Source organism: Homo sapiens, chromosome 2, assembly GCF_000001405.40.
Source record: "Homo sapiens chromosome 2, GRCh38.p14 Primary Assembly".
NCBI classification, from domain to species: Eukaryota; Metazoa; Chordata; class Mammalia; order Primates; family Hominidae; genus Homo; species Homo sapiens.
Genome location: NC_000002.12, coordinates 229,695,206 through 229,717,352, shown reverse-complemented (window position 1 = coordinate 229,717,352; position 22,147 = coordinate 229,695,206). Strand labels below are relative to the sequence as shown.

General features: G+C 43.9%; 1 protein-coding gene across 1 annotated transcript in view, besides 5 other annotated features; it reads left to right on the top strand.

Moving 5' to 3' along the window:
* Positions 1,342–2,115: an enhancer, noted in NCBI's record as "H3K4me1 hESC enhancer chr2:230579954-230580727 (GRCh37/hg19 assembly coordinates)". NCBI's record gives its function as "activates a minimal SCP1, AML or CMV promoter by ChIP-STARR-seq in primed H9 embryonic stem cells {active_cell/tissue: H9 hESC(primed)}" and the evidence as "EXISTENCE:reporter gene assay evidence [ECO:0000049][PMID:30033119]".
* Positions 2,116–2,890: an enhancer, noted in NCBI's record as "H3K4me1 hESC enhancer chr2:230579179-230579953 (GRCh37/hg19 assembly coordinates)". NCBI's record gives its function as "activates a minimal SCP1, AML or CMV promoter by ChIP-STARR-seq in primed H9 embryonic stem cells {active_cell/tissue: H9 hESC(primed)}" and the evidence as "EXISTENCE:reporter gene assay evidence [ECO:0000049][PMID:30033119]".
* Positions 2,116–2,967: a biological region, named in NCBI's record as "H3K4me1 hESC enhancer GRCh37_chr2:230579179-230579953".
* Positions 2,728–2,787: a silencer, noted in NCBI's record as "silent region_12403". NCBI's record gives its function as "represses an Ori minimal core promoter by ATAC-STARR-seq in GM12878 lymphoblastoid cells {active_cell/tissue: GM12878}" and the evidence as "EXISTENCE:reporter gene assay evidence [ECO:0000049][PMID:35858748]".
* The window catches only part of DNER (delta/notch like EGF repeat containing), a 356,927-nt gene continuing 337,577 nt past the window's right edge, over positions 2,798–22,147 (top strand). The window contains exon 1 of the mRNA NM_139072.4: positions 2,798–3,205. Within this exon, the coding sequence (NP_620711.3) occupies positions 2,930–3,205 (276 nt within the window). The 5' untranslated portion in view covers positions 2,798–2,929. The remainder of the gene's footprint in view (positions 3,206–22,147) is intronic.
* Positions 2,858–2,967: a silencer, noted in NCBI's record as "silent region_12402". NCBI's record gives its function as "represses an Ori minimal core promoter by ATAC-STARR-seq in GM12878 lymphoblastoid cells {active_cell/tissue: GM12878}" and the evidence as "EXISTENCE:reporter gene assay evidence [ECO:0000049][PMID:35858748]".

Genomic DNA, 22,147 nt, shown 5'->3' with positions numbered 1-22,147 from the left:
CTGGAAGTGGGGCATACTATTCCCTGCACATTTTATGGCCATGGCCAATAATATGACCACATCTAACTTTAAGGAGGGCAGGAAGAGAAAGTCTTACGAAGAAGTAGCAGTAAGATCGAATGTACTATCATTCACCTCATATTCCATTTCATTTATTTTAGCTCAGCATTTTTACTGATTAAGATAAATTTACATGTTGATTCTGGTATGAATTTTATCAGCTGCCAAAAATTTCAACTCCATGGTTATTTCCCTAAAAACTTCTTGTAGCTTGATAGTGACCCCCCGATTGGTATGTTGTTAAACAGTTTTGAGTCCACTTAGCTGAATTTTCTCCATAAGGTGATCATGAGAAATGTTATCACTTTTTTTTTTTTTGCTAAAATCAAGATACATTATTGGTATATTTGGCCTTTGACTTGTCAATATAAGGACTCTATCAAAAAAGGAAATGAGGTGGGTCAGGATGAAGATTTGATATTCTGTAAGTTGGGAATAATATAAAATAAAAGCCTGGATTTTTAGCTTTCATTTAAACATAGAGGCAATATTATTTTAATCACTTTTGCTAATGTGACAGGGTAATACATTGGTTGGACTTTTTAGTTGAGTATTTGGGGGATCTTGCAGATGGTTGAAAAGCTGTCAGTAAAGTACCAGATCAGCTTTCGGAATCTACAGAAAAGACCCATTTCTCTGAGCGTGGTAACAGTAATAATAGTTAACACTTTCATGGCACTTAGTACATGGATGTTTTGGGACCAGGACATGCAAATCAATATGCTTTTTCCCCAGCATTAATCATGTTGCTCTGCCTATAAGCTAAGGTGCTGGAAGATTATAGTTTTCCTTTTTAGCCTGGAAAAAATGAAAGGATCTTGTATTGTCTCTGCCATAATATGCATTTTAAAGATTAAAGACTAAGAGAATACTTTTAGCAAGGAAAATTATCTGAAACATGCAGTAACCAGCATCCAGAAAATAAAACCACTTTTAATTATCCTATATTTCAAAATAATATGAAATACACAAACAAAGGGGTTGCTCAGGCAAAAGTACAATAAACTGAAATGTGATTTTAATTAACTCACAACCTTTTTACACTTCATCTTGCTTCATTTGTGTGTGTGTCTTGATGGAAGGCAATGAAGAGCACTATCCACTAGTCCAGGATTTAAGGTAAGAGAAGTTAGTTTCAGGAAAGAACGCAACTCCAGGGGCACAGAAACCACCTGAATGACGACACTAGTACCAGCAGAGGGTGCTGGCGTGGCACAAAATTAAGAATTTTCAAGAGGAAGAGGTCTTAGATTGAAAGACAGCAGGTGTGAGGAAAAATGTAATAACTCTATCCACTTGGAGGTCTGAATTCTCCGCTTGCAGATCTGTCTGGGGTTCAGTGATTTCCTGCAATGGCCACATGAATTTTAGGTATCTCCTGAAGCAGAAAAGTGTGACATTTGCTTCTGCGTTTGAACAGGACAGGGAGAAGCCGTGCAGTTTGCCTTCTGTTTCCACTGGAGGACTTTTAGCAATCCCTGGCGTCTGTGACACCTACAGCAGAAGTTCACATGGAGTCCTTACTTTAATTTTTTTAAAAAACAAAACAAGCTATTTTTGTGTTTACTAAAAAAAAAATTGGCCCAGACTGTCAATCCAGGGGAATCACATTTTCTTTTTTCATTTGGCCACCTTAAAAAGAAGGTAACAGGTACCTGGGAACCCACAGGTAATAGAGATTGTGAAAGGTCAGGTGGAGGAGACAAGGCTGGATGCGCTTTATTCAGCGGAGTGCAGCCTCCTTGGCGGTCGCAGCACCAGCCAGCCCAGCCAGGACGTGTAGAAGAGCCCGCCCCCCCCATCCCCTCCGAAGTAGGTCACAGCGAATGCTCCTTTTATGCAGAGTCCCCTGTTGCGATTCCTGCCGCTAGCAGCGCCTCTGCCAACCTGGGCTTTTGAACTGTTCTTTCGGGCGTTCTGGGCTGGGAGTCAATTGACCCACTGGATTCGAATCCAGACTTTCTGGGCCTCAGTTTCCCCCTAGGTTCAACGACAGGGGTGGACAGCCTTACACCAAGGCCTCTTCCCGGCCTCACACGGCGCGGCCAGACGTTCCTTAGTGGTGCGGCAAGGCCCCGCGCTCTGGAAAGGGCCGGCGAGAATGAGACAGCTGGGTCAGCACCAAGGACAAGGGCCCCGGGTCCGCCTGGCGGAGGCGAGGTCACTTCCAGGCGAACCCGGCTGCTGAGCAAGCGTCGGGCGCAGGGTTCCGTGGCCGGGCGGGAGGGCTTGGGGTGCCGGGAGAAGCGCTGTGGGAAGGGGAGCAGTCCCGGGGGATGAGGCAAGGCCGGGCCCCGCGGCGGTCTCGCAGATTCTGCGCCAAGAGGCCAAAGGTGGCTGCTGCGAGCGCGCCGCCCCTCCCTTGAGGCGCCCTGCCGCCTCCCGCGCCCTGCCCTGCCCGGGCCTTGGGGCGCACTCGGTGCTCCCGGCTCTGGAAGCCCCTCAAAGCCCCGCTTCCCTCACTCGTGGACCTCTCCAGCCCCTTTCCTGCCCCAGCGTCGCCTGGCTCCCTGTACCAGGGCTGCTTCTGGACACACCCGTGACTTCGACCCACTCCTGGGGGATGGGGTCCCGCATCGTCTTCCTGCAACCCCCATCCCAACTCCCTGCGGGGAAAGAGGCCCCACTCCCCGATGCTCCAGAGCCGGGGCCGCCAGGCGCCCCGCCCCCCGCTCGCCCCGCCCCGCCCCGCCCCGCAGGCCCCGCCCGCCGTTGCCCGGGGAACCGCGGATCCCGCAGCTGCAGGAGGCGCCCGGCCCGGCGGAGCAGCCCTAGCCGCCACCGTCGCTCTCGCAGCTCTCGTCGCCACTGCCACCGCCGCCGCCGTCACTGCGTCCTGGCTCCGGCTCCCGCGCCCTCCCGGCCGGCCATGCAGCCCCGCCGCGCCCAGGCGCCCGGTGCGCAGCTGCTGCCCGCGCTGGCCCTGCTGCTGCTGCTGCTCGGAGCGGGGCCCCGAGGCAGCTCCCTGGCCAACCCGGTGCCCGCCGCGCCCCTGTCTGCGCCCGGGCCGTGCGCCGCGCAGCCCTGCCGGAATGGGGGTGTGTGCACCTCGCGCCCTGAGCCGGACCCGCAGCACCCGGCCCCCGCCGGCGAGCCTGGCTACAGCTGCACCTGCCCCGCCGGGATCTCCGGCGCCAACTGCCAGGTGAGTGGAAGCGGCGGGCGCGGTGCGGGGCGCTGGTCCGGGACCAGCAGCCTCTTCCCGCCGGCCCTGCTGCTGCTGCCCGACAATGGGCACGCCTGACACAGGCTTTCCCACTTTGGGAAGAAGATGGATCCAGTCTCTTGGCCCGCGTGGACGCGGACCCCCGGGCCGACCCTGATTCCCTTACCCGCCCTGGTTCCCGGGCGGGGCCAGCCGGGCTCTCGGGGTGTGCCGCTCCGGGGCTCGGCACTTCTCGCGCGGGGCTCTAGACGCTCCGGTTGGCCACTGAGTGGCGCGCCCCTCCAGGCCGGGCCGAGCCAAGAACCACTTGAGCGGTGCCCGCCTTGGCAGCGCGGAGGAGCCGGCTCCGAGCGTCCCCGGCGAGGTGTTCAATGTCCAGGTGGTCCACGCTCCACGTCCGGCTGGACCCTGTGTGTGTAAAGGGTGTGCGGTGTGGGAGGCAGGTGATGGTGGGCCCCGTGCCAGGTGGTGGGGCACTTTCTCCTTCTCTTCCTACGCCCTTGAGGGCTGTGACAAAGCAGCCAGAGGACGAGGAGGGCAGCTGCCTCCCCTCGGCCTGCGACCAGCCCTCTCTAAGCTTAGGAGCAGTGTTGGAACAGTCGGAGGCATTCGAGGGGGCATTGTACGTGGCGCTGGCAGGGCCGCCCTTCCTGCCGGACGCTCCACGGGGCGCACGCTTGGGGCTGGCAGCCGGGGCGTGAGCAGGGCACCGGGAAGCCGCCAGAAAGCGTGGGGGCGGTGCGAGGGATGGGACGATGGGATGTAGCCAGCAGCCGCCCGTGAATTTGGGGTTTTCAGGAGAATTTGGCAGAAAATAATATCTGGGGCTTTTACAAGTCCGTTAAAGCTCTGTGAAACCTATTAACATCAACATTTCCAGTAGGCAATTTGGTAGGACTGTGTGTACGGGTAGAAAATCCCCAAACCTGTATTGCAGGGTAGGGCAAATAATGAAGTTATCTGAAATGATTACATTAAACCACATGAATATGGACGATATTTGGGATCAGATACTATCTTCCTTACATTTAGGGTGGAGGAGTTTGTTTCATATAAATTTGATAACAATGATTGGAGAGTTACTTTGAGAATGCTCAAATAGGTTCTTTCAATGGGGAAAAAGGCTGCCCTTTCATTATGACAGGTTTTACATTTTTTAGAGGTAAATGGGATTGAGAAACTTGACCTTGACAGCCAGATTTTTTTGCATTTATCTAGAATCTTTTTATTTCATTTAATAGCAAATTAGCAAACTGAATCTATCTTTTCAACACTGTGCTCTTCCTCTTTGTTTACTGGTTACAATAAGCTTTAGTTACTTGAAGGGAGGTGATGAGGAGGAGGAAGAATTTGTGTGATGTGAGCCTCAGGAGTAGATTTGGGACATGATAGCTTCTTGGGGGAAATGCCTGTTGGAGCCATTCTAACCATTAGAACAAAATCTTGCTTTTGCAAAAGTCAAAATAACTGCAAATCAAAAACCAAGGAATGCACTCACGCTAATTTTCCCTGTGGATTGATGATTTATATGACTTTTCCTGAAGAAATGAATTGTCTGAGTGTGTCCATCAAACTGCTGTTATATTCACACGTCTGAATTTTATCCTTCAAAGAAATAGTTGATTTGGACCTAGGGTTTAGTGGGAATGGATGGGAGAAGGTAGGTTAGAGTGCCCATCGATTTACATGAGAAGAAAGACTCACTGGGAATTTAACACAACTCTGAGATGGTTTTTGGTGACTCTAAAAACAGATATAAGACATCTTCAAGAAAAAGAGCTCTTTAGTGCCACCTAAAGATGACTAACAGCGAAACATAAATATTTTGATTTGTCCTAAGTAGTGACTTGATGTATAATATAATTCATTCCGAAGAGTCAGGAACTAATACATAACATTGCAGGACCAACTGGATCAAAACAGATTCAGATTTCTTTTGTAGCTCCCATTGGAGGTAGGCTTAGCTGTGTGAACACCATCCACCTGAGCAGAAGCAATACTGCATGCCCTGGTGTGTGAGTTGGAGAGAGCGGTGAAGTTACTGTAATCCTCATAGGAAAGCTTAGTGAACTTGGAACTTGATTGGACTTGGTTACCCAGAAAAACTTACTGAGATGATTCAGGGCCTTACAATCCATAAAAATGGATTCCTGATGATTTTAATTTAATCGTTCATGATCTCGCAGTAAGACTTGAGACTCATTTTTCATGGGAACAGCAAAGAACACAAAAGACAATTTCAGAAGAGAAGTTAAACCTGGGGTGGTGGGGAGGGGAGGGGAGAGAGGGAGAGAGAAACTACACATACTCAATTACAGATAAGGAAATTGGATCTTAGCCACTGCAGACTATGTGGTTGCTGAAATAGAACCTTGTGCTCACTGGATAAATTGGAAATGGAATTTTACCTGGATGTAAAGAGGATCTTTTAACAGAGCGTCACTCCTCCTTCTCCAAAGACAATAGTGTTAGCAATGGTAACATTAGAACCTAACCTTGAAGTTTCTTTCTGTGTGTGGGGAAATTTTGAGAAAATCATAAACTACGAATTAGGATTAAAATGGCTGTCTTTAGGCTTTTTTAAAAAAGGATGTCTTTAGCTTTTCTGTGGTTGGCTGATTGAGTTTGCGTAAGTCAATGGGGTCTAGGACATGCTTCTTTTGTCACCTGAGTCATGGAAACTCCTAGGATTTGGGAATTGTAGGTCGTGTGGGTTTGAAGTCAAGCTGAAGTTAAAACTACTGGGTCTTATTTCCTCATCTTCAACGATGGGATCTATGGGACCTACCTCATGAAGATAGTGATTCCATTCCTTGATGTCTGATTGCTGCTGACAGCTTTAAAGCCTCACCTCTCCCCTTCCTCTTTTCCTCCACATCAAAACAAGCTGATAAGAAAGCCCAGGGGTTCCCTCCTTTGGTGCTGGTGGGAGGTTCAAACCATGCAAACTCCTGCCCTGTGCTACTCCAGCCCCAACCCCAAAATGCAGCAAAACCCACAAGCCAGTCTCCTTTCCCTGTTCTCAGAAGCCATTTAAACCCATTTGGGAGCTGCCTGCTCTCCCCAGAGAGCCCCATTATGTCAGCAGTAAACCTTTTTGTATCCTGTGTGTGTGTGTGTGTGTGTGTGTGTGTGTGTGTGTGCGCGTGTATGCATGCCATTTTCAGTCTCAGGGTCCAAACCAAATTTTGAGTGGGTGTCCATCCTGTCTCTGTGGGATGTTCACACTAAGGTTCTGGGAAGGATTAAATTAATTAAGTGCTGTAAATCACTGAGCACCTGTGACATTTCTTTCTTTGTAAACTTTCTGCACATATTTCAAATGCTCATTACCTTAACTAGATCGAGCTAATCATCATCTCTTTTAGTCAAATGCAGAAAATGAAGCTCATTTTGATTGAGTGACTAATCCAAGGTCACATTTTGATACTGCCCTGAAAGTCCTCTAACACATGCAAACATCTTAAATCATGAGAAATTCAGCTGATTTTAAAACTGTATATGAAAATCTAATTTGTAGATATGTAATGATGATGATGATGGTAGCTTACCCTCCTTTTAAGCACTTGCCACGTGCCTGCACTGTTCCAAGGACTTTGCAGACATAACTTGCTGATCCTTGCAATGTCCTATGAGCTGGGTGCTGTCCCTACTCCCATTTTATAGATGAAGTACAGAAAAGTGAAGTGACTGTCCCAATGTCACACTGCTAGTAAGTGTGAGAACTGGAACTGGAATTTGAGCCAGCCAGGCTGGCTTGATACAGGGCTATAGAATCTAAAGAGTGCCTAGATGAAAATCCAGCCCTGGACCTGTCATAGTTACAATAGGGAGCAAGAGCTATAACCTCCTTGAGTTTTATCATTAAAAAGGGGATAAAGAAATTTCTGAGTCCAGTCTTGCTCTAAATGAGCTTGTATGAGTGTGCTCAGCTGGAATAAAAAGGCACAGAGGTGACAAAGACACAGATTCTCCTTATGCCACATGCTAACCAGGAACCTTCACCTTAGAGTTAGAATTCTGGGTCCTAGCTGAAGTTATTTTTACCATGATGGCAAGCAAATGGACACTACATAAAAAAAATGTTTCTGATAGGTTTGAAAAAACTTCAACTGATTAGAAATTGAGGCCGCTCTTGCTTGTTCTGGTTCATTTGGGGAAGCAGGCAGGTATCAGAGGTGGCAGTGGCTGGGCCAATTTTTCTTTTGTGGTGAGTGATACAGAAACTCCTTCTATTGGGCTGTCCGTCAAAGAAGGGGCTATTTACATTTGTATTACTTTGTTTGTAAAGCTTATTTTATTTTCATAAAATAATTATTTGCCTAATATTTAAGCAGTCAGATACCTGTTTGTTTTTTCGTTACATGTTCCCTAAGGATCCTATCCTTCAGGATTATAATAACAATGTGTTAATTTCTGCACTTGGAGTAAAAAGGGGACATGTGTGGCTGCTTTTCATGCAAGTTAAATTTACTTATTAAACTGATTTTATAATCCTTTCTTCTGATTAACCATGCTAACTTGAAACAGTGGTCTGCTTCAGAGGAACCTATTTTTGACTGAGGTTTGCTAACAAAGAATTCTAGTTCTTTGTACTACATCAGTCTTTGTTACTGGACTTTACACACAAACACACACACACACACAGACACACACAAACTCACATTGTAGTATGTACAAAATGTTGAATAGTAGCTGAGATGTAAAGAGACATTGCTTCTTTCTCTGGCTTTTCTATGAACTTCTTGTGACTTTGGGATAATTATTGAACATCCTTGAACCTCAATGTTCATATCTCTAACATGGACTAACAATGCTTATCTTGTTTTCTTTATAGAAATGATGTAACTCACAAATAAGAACATAGTAAAGTTCTTTTTAAAAGTGTAAAGAAGTATGCAAGAATGAAGTTTAAAACATTTTGAAAAAAGGTAACACGTTGCAAAAATAAAAGATATACTAAGAAAAGGATTGTAGTTTTCCCCATATAAAATGATTATATTAGTTTATTCAGTGTGTTTGATTGTCTTCCTTCAATGAACAGACACAGCTTTTTCTCTCTACTAGGATGAATTATGTTATGACATGTTTTGAAAATGAAAATTTAATTGTATTAAACTTTTTATAAATGTGTACTTTTTATTCTGAAATAAATGATTTCTTAGAAAATTCTCAGTGACTTGAAGTTTTCTTTTGAAATGAAAGAACAAAAACTTGTCGAAATTTTTGTAAGAATGTTAAGAAAAGCAGGAAACTTGATGTTTTCTTGGTGTTATTAAAGCAGAATGATTTGCCTGTTTCGTGCACTGCATTCTTGCTGCATTCTTAGGAGGCATCACTCTTCTCAGCTTGGCCACCTCACAAAAACGTGTTCCTGTCTTTAGCTTCTTTGCTTAAGCTTCTCATGTGACATGGTACCATCAAAAATGGTTTTGTTTATGCTCTCATTTGATAAGCATCAAACAAGAAAGAAAACCTAGTCTGAATTTGAAGGGTATTTGAGTCAGAAAGCTGAATGCCAGGGTTGTATTTTTAGATATCCTTATCAATTCAGTAGGCAGCTGTGGTCAGAGCTGCTTAACCCAGAGGCAGTGACTGCAGAATCCTGCCCCCACCAAACAGAAAACCCGACAATGTGGCAAAGGTTTGCAGACAGAATTTCTTTATATTTACCCCTTCCTCTGCTTCCCCACATTAGTGCTCAGCCCTGGCAGTGTATTAGACTGACCTGGCAGCTTGAACAAAAATGAGTGGGTCCTACGGTTCCCCTGTCCCCCAGATTCTGATTTAATTGGCCTAGGGTGGGGCCTGGCACTGGTACTTTTTAAGTGCTCCCCAGGTGATTCTACTGTATGACTAGGGTTGAGAAGCTCCTGCTAGACTCTTATCATCTTCCTTCATAGCCTGTTCAGTGTATAGCATGTGGCAGAGAAAAACGACAGTTGCACCTGCTTTGGTCACTCCTGCCTGAAGGGCAGCCAGGCTCACAGCCTGGAAACTCCTGGTCCACACCCTCCTCAAATGGTATAGATTTTGCATCTCAAAGTGAACTTAGAATGGAAAGAGTCCAAATGTGGGAGTCAGGCCTGGGTTAGAATCTGGCTCTGGGTGTCCTTGGGTAAGTGACTCCTTTCTCTGAGGCTTGGTTTTATCATCTGTGAAAATGGGATCCTGATGCCAACCTTGAAAGTTGCTATGGCTTAGAAGTGTCTAGCCCAGTGCCTGGCCCATCAGAGAGACACCAGATAAAAGGTGCTCACTTCTGTTAATTCCTCCTCTGTCCTTCTCACCCAGTGAGTGCAAAGAACAATAAGAAAACAGTGAAGAGAGCATGAGCTGGCAGTCTAGACTATTAGGGAATCACTCCTCATGTTTTATTTGAACACACTAACCTACCTTCAGTCAATAATCACCATGTGCATCTTAGAGCAGTTGTCTTTGAGAGGAAGAGCTCTCAGAATCTCTGCTCTCTTCTCCCCCAGTTGCATGGGAACCCAGCACTGGGGCTACATACAGTAGGCTCTACGTAATACTGTTGAATAAATGACAGGTTTAGTGGGGTGCAGCTGTGGGCACCAGGAGGGCACTGGGCCTTGTGGAGTAGATCCAGGGCATATGAGGAGGGATTGTGTTTAGGAGAAGGAAAGCACATGAAGACATTTAATCTGTTTAATCATTTCCCTTGTGCCAGGTCTGTTCTGGGAAGTGCAGAATATTTTTCAATAAATGCTTTGCAGTAGCTCTAGCTTTTAATATTTCTAATAAAGCTTTCTTTTAACAATACTTTTCTGTGGCCAGGTGCTGTGGTTCACGCCTATAATCCCAGCACTTTAGGAGACTGAGGCAGATGGATCACCTGAGGTCAAGAGTTCGAGGCCAGCCTGGCCAACATGGTGAAACCGCATCCCTACTGAAAATACAAAAAAAAAAAAAAAAAAAAAAAAAATTAGCCAGCCGTGGTGGCACATGCCTGTAGTCTCAGCTACTCAGGAGGCTGAGGCAGGAGAATCACTTGAATCCTGAAGGCAGAGGTTGCAGTGAGCCGAGATCGCATCACTGCACTCCAGCCTGGGCTGAAGCGAGACTCTGTCTCGGGGGAAAAAAAACACAAAACAAAAAAAATCACCTTTTCTGATGAACTAAATCAAGGGTGGCCAAAGCACAGTTCTCATCCCCATTCTTTCTACCAACTAAGAATGGTTTTAACATTTTTAAGTGGTCAAAAAAAAATCAAAACCAAACTAATATCTGGGCCGGGTGTGGCGGCTTACACCTGTAATCCCAGCCCTTTGGGAGGCCAAGGTGGGAGGATCGCTTGAGCCCAGGAATTCAAGAATAGCCTGGGCAACATACTGAAACCTTGCCTCTACATTAAAAAAAACTCACATTGCATGAAAGTTATATGAAATCCAGATTTCAGTGTCCAAGGATAAGGTTGTTTTGAGCACAGCCACATACGTTTGCGTAAGTGTTGTCTGTGGCTGCTTACATGTTCCAGTGGCAGAGGGGAGGAGTTGCAAGAGACAGCATGGCTCACAAAGCTGAAAATATTTCTTTATTTGTTGAGATGGAGTCTTGCTCTGTCACCCAGGCTGTAGTGCAGTGGTGTGATCTCGGCTCACTGCTGCCTCCACCTCTCATATTCAAGCGATTCTTGTGCCTCAGCCACCTGAGTAGCTGAAGTTATAGGTGTGTGCCACCACATTCGGCTAATTTTTTTTTTTTTTTTTGTATTTTTACTAGAGATGAGGTTTTGCTATGTTGGTCAGGCTAGTCTTGAACTCCTGTGCTCAAGTGATCCACCCATCTCAGCCTCCCAGTGTGTTGGAATTACAGGCATGAGCCACTGTGTCCGGCCCAAAAATACTTATTATATGGCCCTTGATAAAGGAAGAAGTTGGCTGACCCTCTCCTAAATATTTCCGTAAACATTGGTGGAAAGAGTTTATTTTTTCATTTTTATTTATTGGACTTGGCCCAAGGCTCCTCTCCCTTTTCCCTTTTCCTCTTGTTCTCTTCCATCCCTCTTGATGGCTACCTCTACCTAGGCTCCAGGTAGGGCCCTGGGACTGACAGAAAGAGTACAGTCATTGTCTTCAAATTGCTTAAATCTCTAGAGTCTTCCTGGATAGATCTGAACTTTTTCTTTTATATCAGCCCTTGGCCAACATGTCTGGACACCATAGTTAGAGTTTATTTCCAGGGAAGTATGTGAGGCAGGGAAAAGAAATGCTAACTGGAGGGGTTTGGGGTGTGGGTGAGCATCTTAACTGAGTTACTACAGGCTTATCAGCTTTCCTAAACCCCGTTTCCTCAATCATTGACAGGATGGTTGGAAAGATGAAAGTGAATAATAAGGTCTCTGGCACAGAACTGGCCCTCTATAAACACAAACTGCTATTTTGATAAAAGTGAATATGAGTCCCCATCTTATGGCTAAGGAAACCTACCTGGGGTCCTATAGCTTGGTGACAGAGTTGGGGATCTGAGCCCAGGCATGGTGGCTTTGAGTATGGGGTCATTACTCTTACTGTACTGCTGTGCCTCAGACTGCTCCATGGTTTGTGACTTTCAAAGTGAGCACCAGAGGGAAAAGGGAACCAGAGGGTTGCGGTTCCATTCTGGAAGTTTTAGTTTCTGTATGGAGGCTTTGGGTTTGTGTAATGTTAAGGTATTTCTTTCTTAAAGAGAAAAGAAAAGGCACGGGGCTTTTGAAAAACAGGATTTGAGAAATGAAATCACTGTACTTGAAAGAAAGGCGCTTGGAAATAGAAACGTGTCTGCTATCTTTTGCTCACAGTTCCTGAAAGCAAGCAGGTCCTTTAGAATTTCAACACTGGTACTTATCTGGTCCTTGTAGTTAATATAAAGGAGCATTTGTAATTACATTTTGGGTTTCGGAGGCAGATTAAAACTCCTTTATGGAAGACATTCTGTGGTGGAAGAAATCACAAGAGAAGAAAAGTATCTAGTCCTTCTTTTCCATGAGACGACTGAAGCGAAGAGTCTGTAGCAATGGGCTGATGGGGGCTGAGTGGAGGATGGCTGAATTACCATTACTCCTAGTATCCCACCGCGTTGAAGTCAGATTTCTGCACTATGTCATTTGGAGCAAAACCTTGTGGTTAATTTTCAAGCACAATAGAATGTATTAGAATAGGACAAAAAGTCAAATATGTCCGAGGTATATTACTTTAGAAAGGGAAAATGCAATACGGGAACAATGAAAAGAACACGAAAATCTTTAGCTTCCAATTGACTAGCTGTATTGCTTCTTCTACAAAGGATTCCCAGACCCTTTTCATTTCATAACTATTTTTAAAATTAAGATATAATTTACATACAGTAAAATTCACTCTTCTTGGCATTCATTTCTATGCATTTTGACACATAGGTGTGTAACACCACCGCAATCATCCCTATACATTTCCTCATGCCCCGTTGTAGTAAACCTCTCCCCGGCCCCAGTCCCTGGCAGCCACTGGTCTGATTTCCATCACTATAGTTTTGCATTTTTTCTAGAACGTCATACATGTGCATTTTCCACTGAACATAATGCTTTTGAGATACATCCATGTCGTTTCATGTATCAATTGTTTGTTTCTTATTATTGCTGAATAGTATCCATTGTATGGCTAGATGACAATTTGTCCTTTCACTAACTGATGACATTTGGTTTGTTTCCAGTGTCTGGTGATTATGAATAAAGCTTCTGTAAGTGTTCACATACAGGTCTTTAAGTGGACATGTTTTCATTTCTCTTGAGTAAATAACTAGGATTTCCTGGGATTGCTGGGTCATGTGGTAAGTGCGTGTTAAACTTTAGAAGATGCTGCCAAAGTGTTTTCCAGAAGAGGTGTACCATTGCATTCCCATCAGCAATAAATGAGGCTTCCAGTTGCTTGCATCCTTGTCAGTTCTTGGTATATCATTGGTGATTTAGGTTTTAGCTATTCTAATAAGCGTGCAGTGGTATCACATTTTGGTTTTAATTTGCATTTTTATAATGATTAATGGTGTTGAACATCTTTTCATATGCTATTTGCTATCCATGCCTCTTCTTTGATGAAATGTCTATTCAAATGAGTTCTGAGGTTGTTTTTCCATATTTCTGATTCAAATTCAAATCCCTTACTTGATATGCGATTTGCAAATATTTTCTCCCAATCTGTGGCTTCTCCTTTCCCTTTCTTTTTTTTTTTTTCTTTTTCTCTCTTTCTCTTTTCTTTCTTCATTTTTTTTGAGACAGGGTCTCACTCTGTCACCTAGGCTGGAATGCAGTGGTGCAAACTTGTGATCTCGGCTCCTTGCAACCTCCGCCTCCCAGGCTCAAGCAATCCTCCCACCTCAGCCTCCTGAGTAGCTGGGACTACAGGCATGTGCCACCACACTGAAGTAATTCTTATTTTTAATAGAGGTGGGGTTTCACCATGTTGCCCAGGCTGGTCTCAAATTCCTGGGCTCAAGAAATCTGCCCACCTTGGCCTCTCAAAGTGCTAGGACTACATGCATCAGCCACCGTGCCCAGCCCTTCCTTTTCTTAACAAGGTCTTTCAAAGGACAGGTTTTAGAGACCAATGAAGTCTGATTGGTCCATTTTTTCTTTTATGGTTTGTACTTTTTGTGTCCTATCTGAGAGATCTTTGCCTAACCCAAGGCCACAAAAATCCCCTCTTGTTTTCTCATGTATCATTTAAGGTTTGACATGAAGGTCTTTGACCCATTTTAAGATCGTCTCTTTCTATGTGGTGCAATGTATGGGTAGTTTTCGTTCTTTTTTTTTGCTTACAAATGTCTAATAGTTTCAGAAACATTTGTTGAAAAGACTGTCTATCTCCACTGAATTATTTTGGTACCTTTGTTTAAAATCATTTGACCAAGCATGTGTGGGTCTATTTCTGGACTCTTTATTTTATTACATTTATGTCTCTTTTTGCCAATTCTACACTATCTTGAGACTACTGTAGTTATAGTAAGTCCTAAAATCAGGTTGAGTCCTGTAAATATGTTCTCCCCCCTTCTCCCCACCACCTGCAAAATTATTTTGGTTACTCTAGAGCCTTTAGAACTTGCTTTTTAGAATACCACAGGTGAGGAGCTAGAGAAATGCAGTTCTCCCAGGCACATATTGAGATGACAAGAATCCTCCAAAACAGGGTAGAATTTTACACTGAGGTAGAACCAGGATTCTTTTTTTTTTTTTTTTTTTTGAGGCGGAGTCTCGCTGTGTCCCCCAGGCTGGAGTGCAGTGGCACGGTCTCAGCTCACTGCAAGCTCTACCTCCCGTGTTCACACCGTTCTCCTGCCTCAGCCTCCCGAGTAGCTGGGACTACAGGCGCCCGCCACCACGCCCGGCTAATTTTTTGTGTTTTTAATAGAGATGGGGTTTCACCGTGTTAGCCAGGGTGGTCTCGATCTCCTGACCTCGTGATCCGCCTGCCTCGGCCTCCCAAAGTGCTGGGATTACAGGCGTGAGCCACCGTGCCCGGCCAGAACCAGGATTCTTAACCTGGGATCTGTGGATGGTTTCAAGAGTGCGTGGACACTCACATACTCTTTTTTTAAAATCATCATCATCATTATTATTTTCGGTGACAGGGTCTTACTCTGTTGCCCAGGCTGAAGTGCAGTAATGTGATCATGGCTTACTGCAGCCTTAACCTCTATGGCTCAAGTGATCCTCCTGCCTCAGCCTCTCGAGTAGCTGGGACTATAGGCATGCACCACCACGCTTGGCTAATTTTTAAATATTTTTGTAGAGGCAAGGTTTCACCACATTGCCCAGGCTGTTCTCGACCTCCTGGGCTCAAGTGATCCTCCCGCCTTGACCTCCCAAAGTGCTGGGATTACAGGCGGGAGCCACTGTGCCCAGCCCATCATCATTTATTTATTTATTGCTAACAAGAATTCAAACCAAGTATGCAGTTTACCAGAACAGAGCAGGAAATCAAGGCATGACTGCCATCATCAAATCTTAATCTTCAGAGAACATTTCCATTATGCTGGCCTGAAGACACTCAGATTCTATCAGTTTTTCCTGGGTTCCATGGTTAAGCACTGCAGCTCCTTTCAAATTTTTCCTGAAGACATTATTTGGATCTTTCCAATAAGGCTTTTCTCCTACTTGGCAGTAGATGAATGCACATTCTTCCCGAACATGCTTCAGCCCGTCTCTACAACTGGTTTGGCCCGCATGCCATTGGGGCTATATCTGTTACCTCCAATGTCCTTGGAACTGGCAAAGAAGGCAAAAAAGGTCTTGTGATTTTGCTGTTTCATAGTCTGGTTGAACTCCTCAAAGTCCAACATGCTCACTTCCTCGTAGCTGGCCATCTGCACAGTGCCATGGACTGTGGGAGGAGTCCTTGGGTCCGACCATTGTGGGGTGGGGCTCACGTGGGACCCACATACCCTGGAGATGCCAAATTTTGTATGTAGATATTCTCCTGGGGAATGGCTCAAAAGTTTCAAAAGATTCTTTAAGACCTCACCTACCTGTAAAAGAACCACTGGAATGGAGGAAGAAGCAGCTGGTTGAATACATGGGACTTCTGAGCATGGACTAAGACATAGACCAGGAGCTAGCCAGGGACCTCGAAGTACCCCAAAGTAGGATGCCCAGGCAAAATACAGATGCACAGTTAAATTGGAATTTCAGATAAACAATGAGCATTTTTTGTATAAGTGTGTCCCAAATATTGTACATCATTTATCTGAAATTCAAATTTAACTGGGAAACTTGTATGTTTAATTAGCTAAATATGGCAACCTTACCCCAAAGGCCCAATTCCCAGCTTTTTTCTGAAAGGTTTGTCAATTGCACTTTAAATTCTTGTCAAATAATTGTAGAAGGTAAATTTTGCTAACTTGCATTTAAAATATGAAATCAGCTCATAGTTTTGCATCTTCATGGGTCCTTTTAAGGGTAGCCATCCAACTGCTAAGGCATTATAAACGCATGGAAATGTGTAAAAGACCTGTTGGTAACCTTCCCTTCCCTTTCTTCGGCCTCTCCTGCCAATATCATCCCTCTGCACTAATCACTGTTTCCATTTTGCTGTGTAGTTTTACATTTTCTTCTTGGTATGTATAAGCATATGTGAAGCCTATGTAAATACTTTTATATGCATGCAAACTATTTTATATAAAAGCTAACTCAACCTATACGTAATGTTCTGCAATGTTTTCCTTAATCTATTTTGAGCATCTTACCATATCTTTTTTTTTTTTTTTTGAGACGGAGTCTCGCTCTGTCGCCCAGGCTGGAGTGCAGTGGCTCCTGGGTTCAGGCGATTCTCCTGTCTCAGCCTCCCGAGTAGCTGGGACTACAGGTGTGTGCCACCATACCCGGCTAATTTTTTTTTTTTTGTATTTTTAGTAGAGATGGGGTTTCACCGTGTTAGCCAGGATAGTCTCGATCTCCTGACCTCATGATCTGCCCACCTCGGCCTCCCAAAGTGCTGGGATTACAGGCATGAGCCACCGTGCCTGGCCACCATATCTTAAAACAGAAAGCAAACCCATTATTTTCGATGGTTGACTAGTATGCCATTGTGTGACTGTTTACATATTCAGTCCTTACTAAAGCACATTATTTCCAGTTTTTAAATAATGTCACAAAAAATTAGCTGAGTGTGGTAGCACACACCTATAAACCCAGCTACTTGGGAAGCTGAGGCGGGAGAATTGCTTGAACCTGGGAGGCAGAGGTTGCAGTGAGCCGAGATCACACCACTGCACTCCAGCCTGGATGACAGAGTGAGATGCTGTCTCAAAAAAAAAAAAAAAATGTTGCACTGACCCCTATACACACACACACACACACACACACACACACACACATATATTGACATAAATGTATATACATTAAGCATTCTAATAAATACTGCTAAGTTGCCATCCAAAAAGGTTGGAGAATTTTGCAAATTTACTGACAGCATATGAGAATGCCTACTAGCCCCCATTTTTTTTGTGTTAACTGATAGGTAAAACATGATATTTAATTGGTTTAATTGCATTTAAAAAATTATGAATGAGGGAAGATTTTTTTTTTTTAATGAAATTGCCTGTTCCTATTTTTGTCTAATTTTCTTTTGGGTTGTACATTTTCCCCACATTGATTCGTAATGGCTTGTTGTTAATGAGGGAAATTAAATTCGCCCTTTGTCCTTTGTGTTGTAAATCTCTTTTTCCCTATGTATCATTTTTCATTTGACTTCGCTTATGCTCATTGTTTTGCTCTTTAGAAGCTTATAATTCTTGGTTCTTATTTAGCCAGATTCATTAATGGGGAAGCTGATCAATTTTAATTAGAAGTCTATGCTTTATACTGTTACCATACTGTATAATATGTTGAGAATGAGCAGATTCAAGCCAAGAATTTGCTTTTGAAAAATTCTATTTTGTCCAAGATTTGTATTGATAAGGTTGATTCTATTATTTCTTTAGAATGTACAATTAAAGCTGGACGTGGTGACTCATGCTTGTAATCCCAAGCACTTTGGGAAGGTGGGGTGGGTGGATCGCTTGAGCCTAGGAGTTCGAGACCAGCCTGGGCAACAAGGCAAAACCCTATCTCTACTAAAAATACAAAAATTAGCCGGTATGGCAGTGCATGCGTATAGTCCCAGCTACTTGGGAGGCTGAGGTGGGAGAATCGCTTGAACCCAGGAGGAGGAGTTTGCAGTGAGCTGAAATCCAGCCATTGCACTGCAGCCTAGGCGGCAGAGCAAGAGCTTGTCTCAAAAAAACAACAAAAAAAGTACAATTAAATTTAACTTCAATTTATGCCTATTTTAAGAAGGGTTGGCATAGATTTTCTAAGTCATATTTAAATATTTTTAATTTGTCTTGACTTTTTATTGAGGCTGGAACACTGCAACCATTTTATCAAGATTCTTTTTTTTAAGAACTACTCAGCACACTTTTAATAATTGTCGTGTGTTCCTTAGTATTTTGTTACAATCACCAAGTTAATTTTAATGGCATTATTGGATAATAGAGTATTTCTTAAAAGTTTTTGATGGTGTAATGGTCTGATTTCAAACAATGTTCTTCAACCAGGCTTGGGCAGAAAGGCTTGCACTAATATTCAGCAAAATGCAAATTTCCCTTATGCTTTACTCTCCATATTGTATTTTTAGCTCCTTTCCCCTTGAGAACAGCCTTATTTCTCCTGACGAGGGGTTTTTGTGACCCTCTATCTTCATTTTTACTCTTTAAAATTGGCCATTGGTTTTTTTGGTTGTGCAAAAGGGAATTCTTTTATTTCTGTAGAAAAGCCTCATAATGAGAGAGATAATAGGAAAAACAGAGAAATGAGAACTAATATTAGCATTTCTATGAGGCCCCAAATAAACCTTTAGCTGGAGAGAAGTAAATTCCATATTATTATTATTTTTTTATTTTACCAAGGGAGAGTAGGATGTGGGAGGGTGGAAATTTTGGAGCTGCACACTGACTAAAGGGGAAGTCACCTTTCTTTTTGTCTCCTAAGGAAAATAAATTGTTATCATTACGTTCAAACTTAACAGCGTGATGCCAAAAACCGATGCTGACACCTTTTTAAAAATCACAAGTCGATTTTATGCAAGGTTTTTCTTGCTTCCCTTGCTTTCCCCGGACCCTACAGATGTTTTATATGCTTAGAAGAGCACATAAATGCAAGTAGAGCCTGTGGGAATTTAGGCGAAGTCAAGAGCTTTTTCTCCTAACATAGATCTTTCCCGGTAGTATGTGAGTATGCTTGATTGTTTTCTTCTTTCTCCTGTATATTTGGAAAAATGATTGACTTGCAAATGTTGTGCAGGAAATGGAGACCAGCAGGGTACAAGGCTGTTGACAGAGGCCATTCAGTTGATCTCCTTGCCTCACTTTGCCCTTCCACATTTTTTTTCTTTTATTGTTTTCTTTTAGAGACACAGAGTCTCGCTCTGTCACCCAGGCTGGAGTGCAAGTGGTGGGAGTGCAATCACAGCCCACCGCAGCCTTGAACTCCTGGGCTCAAGTGTTCCTCCCACCTCAGTCTCCCGAGTAACTGGGACTACAGGCACATGCCACCATACTTGGCTAATTTATTTTTTATTTTTGTAGATACGGGGGTCCTTCTAGGTTGCCCAGGCCTCTATGTTGCTGGTCTTGAACTCCTGGTCCCAAGCAGTCCCCCTGCCTTGGCCTCCCAAAGTGTTAGGATTACAGGCGTGAACCAATGTGCCCAGCCCTGCTCTTCTACTTCTACATGCATGCCTTGAAAACTCCTTCCTCAGTTGGAGGCAGGTCTTCTTTCCTAGAAAAGGGAGTCTTTATTTCCTGTTAGGGCTCACCTGTACACCTGCTTCCTTCATGGGTTCTCCTGATGAAGGGCTGCTTGTCTCCTGGTGTAAACTCCTAATGAGAAACCTGGGAAGAAGCATGCTTCCTTGGAGAGTTCTTGTATTCTATTCTTAGGCCTCTGACCACAGTCCATTAGACTAGAAAGGAACATCAATGAAGTTTGTTCATATTGAAGTAGACAGTTAATAAAGAGTCTTGAAACGTCCTGTGGTGTCTCATCATCCCATATCTCCAATTCTCTGTATCATAAACCATCCCAGGTATATCTGTGGAATCTGTGTTGTCTTAAAACATTTTATTGAAGTAAAAGTCACATAATATGAAAGTAACCATTTTAAAGGGAACCTTTTAGTGGCATTTTGTATGTTCATAATCTAGTTCCAAAACATGTTTGCCATCCCAAAAGGAAACACTGTATCCATGAAGCAGTTGCTCCCCTTTCCTCCCTCCTCCCAGTCACTGGCAACCACCAATCTGCATTCTGTCTCCATGGATTTACTTATTCTCGATATTTCATAGAAATGGAGTAATCCATTATGTGACTGTTTGTGTCTGGCATCTTTCACTTAGTATAATGTTTTTGAGATTCATCCACGTTGCAGTATTTATCCATACTTCATTGCTTTTTTATGGCTGAATACTATTCCATTGTTCATATATATCACATTTTGTTTATCCAGTCATCTGTTGATGGACATTTGAATTGTTCCCACCCTTTAGCTATTGTGAATAGTGCTGCTATGAATGTGCTCGTACAAGTGTGTGTTTGAGTCTCAGTTTTTAATTCTTTTGGTTATATACTTCAGAGTGGAATGACTGGGTTATATGGTAATTCCATATTTAAATTTTTGAGGAACTACCAGATGGCTTTCCATCTGTGTTATCTTCTTACACAACCTGAGCCCCAGGATCCCCCCTGGATGGTTACTTGCAGCCTCTCCTTGCATTCCAGACTAATGTCTTGCTACTGTCGTTACCTGGGTGATAGCATCCCAGAAGCTCCATTCCAGCCGTGATCTGAGGTCTCAGCTCCCCAGGACACTCTGCTGGCTCAAATCCCTTGTCTCTTCATGTAAGGCCCAGCCTCCTGTACCTCCCTCCCAAGAAAGCCTGTGAATTGGGAAGCTTTGTTCTCTGGCTCAGCCTAGGCCATGAATGCTGCCCCTCCACTCCAGTAAGTTATGCCTTATGCTAACTCCTGTGGTCTGCTGAGCTCCTTTGGGAGAAGCAGAGAGCTTGCTGGGGCACTTGAGCCACTGGGAATAAGTGGCCCTAGATGTCATTGGTCCAATTGCCTCACTCCACTGAAGAGGAAACTGAGGCCAGAAAGTTGAAAAAATAATTATGCAAGGCCGTCCAGATTATAAGCAACAGCACAGGGTTTGAGAAAGGTCTTTGGTATTTGGTCAGTTTCCTCCTCCTAGGACCTGGCACCCCTCAGGCACATTTAATACATCATGCAGAGAAATACAGCCTCCCCGTCAATCATCGTGGGTTGTAATACTATCCCAGTCAACTTGTTTGTTAAGAAACTAGCTCATGTGGGTTGACCTAGAGCACTTATATTGCTGGTTTTTTAATGAGCTCAGTATAAATGAGAAATCTGAGTGGGCTGGGGGTGGGACCCCCTGTGCTTGATGAGCCAAAGCAGGGCTAAAAGACTGTAGATCACTTGTTGCTTAGCAACCACTGCCAGGAGACTTGGTTTTCATAACCCAAGCCTTGTTAATTTCCCAGGGATTAGGATTTGGGCAGTGAGGTTTAGTAATGAGGTTTAGAAAGGAGTGCAAACTGGGTGTTTTTTTGGCTCAGTTTGTCTCCTAATGCACAGATCTCTCCCACCCCCAGCAAACAAACAAACAAAGAAACAAATCTCCATCAGGGAGCAGTTCTGGCAACTCTGGACAGTTTGAGGCCCAGAGAAGCTCATAAACAATTTCATCCTCAGGTCAAGGGCTCAGCATGACCCTCAGCTTACTATTCATCCTCCGTTCCCAGAACTTGGGGTCTTCCAGGCCTGCCCTACTCCCAGTCTGACACTAACGAGTTCGGCTTTATGGAATACTGGGAAAGAGGTAGAGTTCTTTGTTTTTCAATGCAATTTGGGGAACTCACTCTACCACTGGTCATTTCTGAGTACTGATTACAACAGCAATGCATTTTATAGATGTTTAGAGTGGGAAGGGATTCTAGAAATTGTATTGGTCAGTTCACTAATTCTGCAGAAGAAAATGAAGGTGAAAGAGATGAATGTCCAAGTCAGGATTAGACTTTGCTGACTCTCCACCCAGGGCTGTCTCCACCAGAGCATTAATGCCCAGACATTGCAAACACTGAAGACCATCCTGTGGGGGAGGCATGGGTGGGGATTTATAATAAATATATTCTTATGGACATTCAGATTCAAGTTAAGTGTTCAGTTACTTACATGAAGGGTTACATGCTAGGTTCCTTTCCCTATATTATGTGTTTTAATCCTCACATTTCTTTGGAGGAGGCATTTCCCCTACTTGATAGATGATGAGACTGTGTATTAGTCCATTCTCATGCTGCTAATAAAGACATACCTGAGACTGGCTGATTTATAAA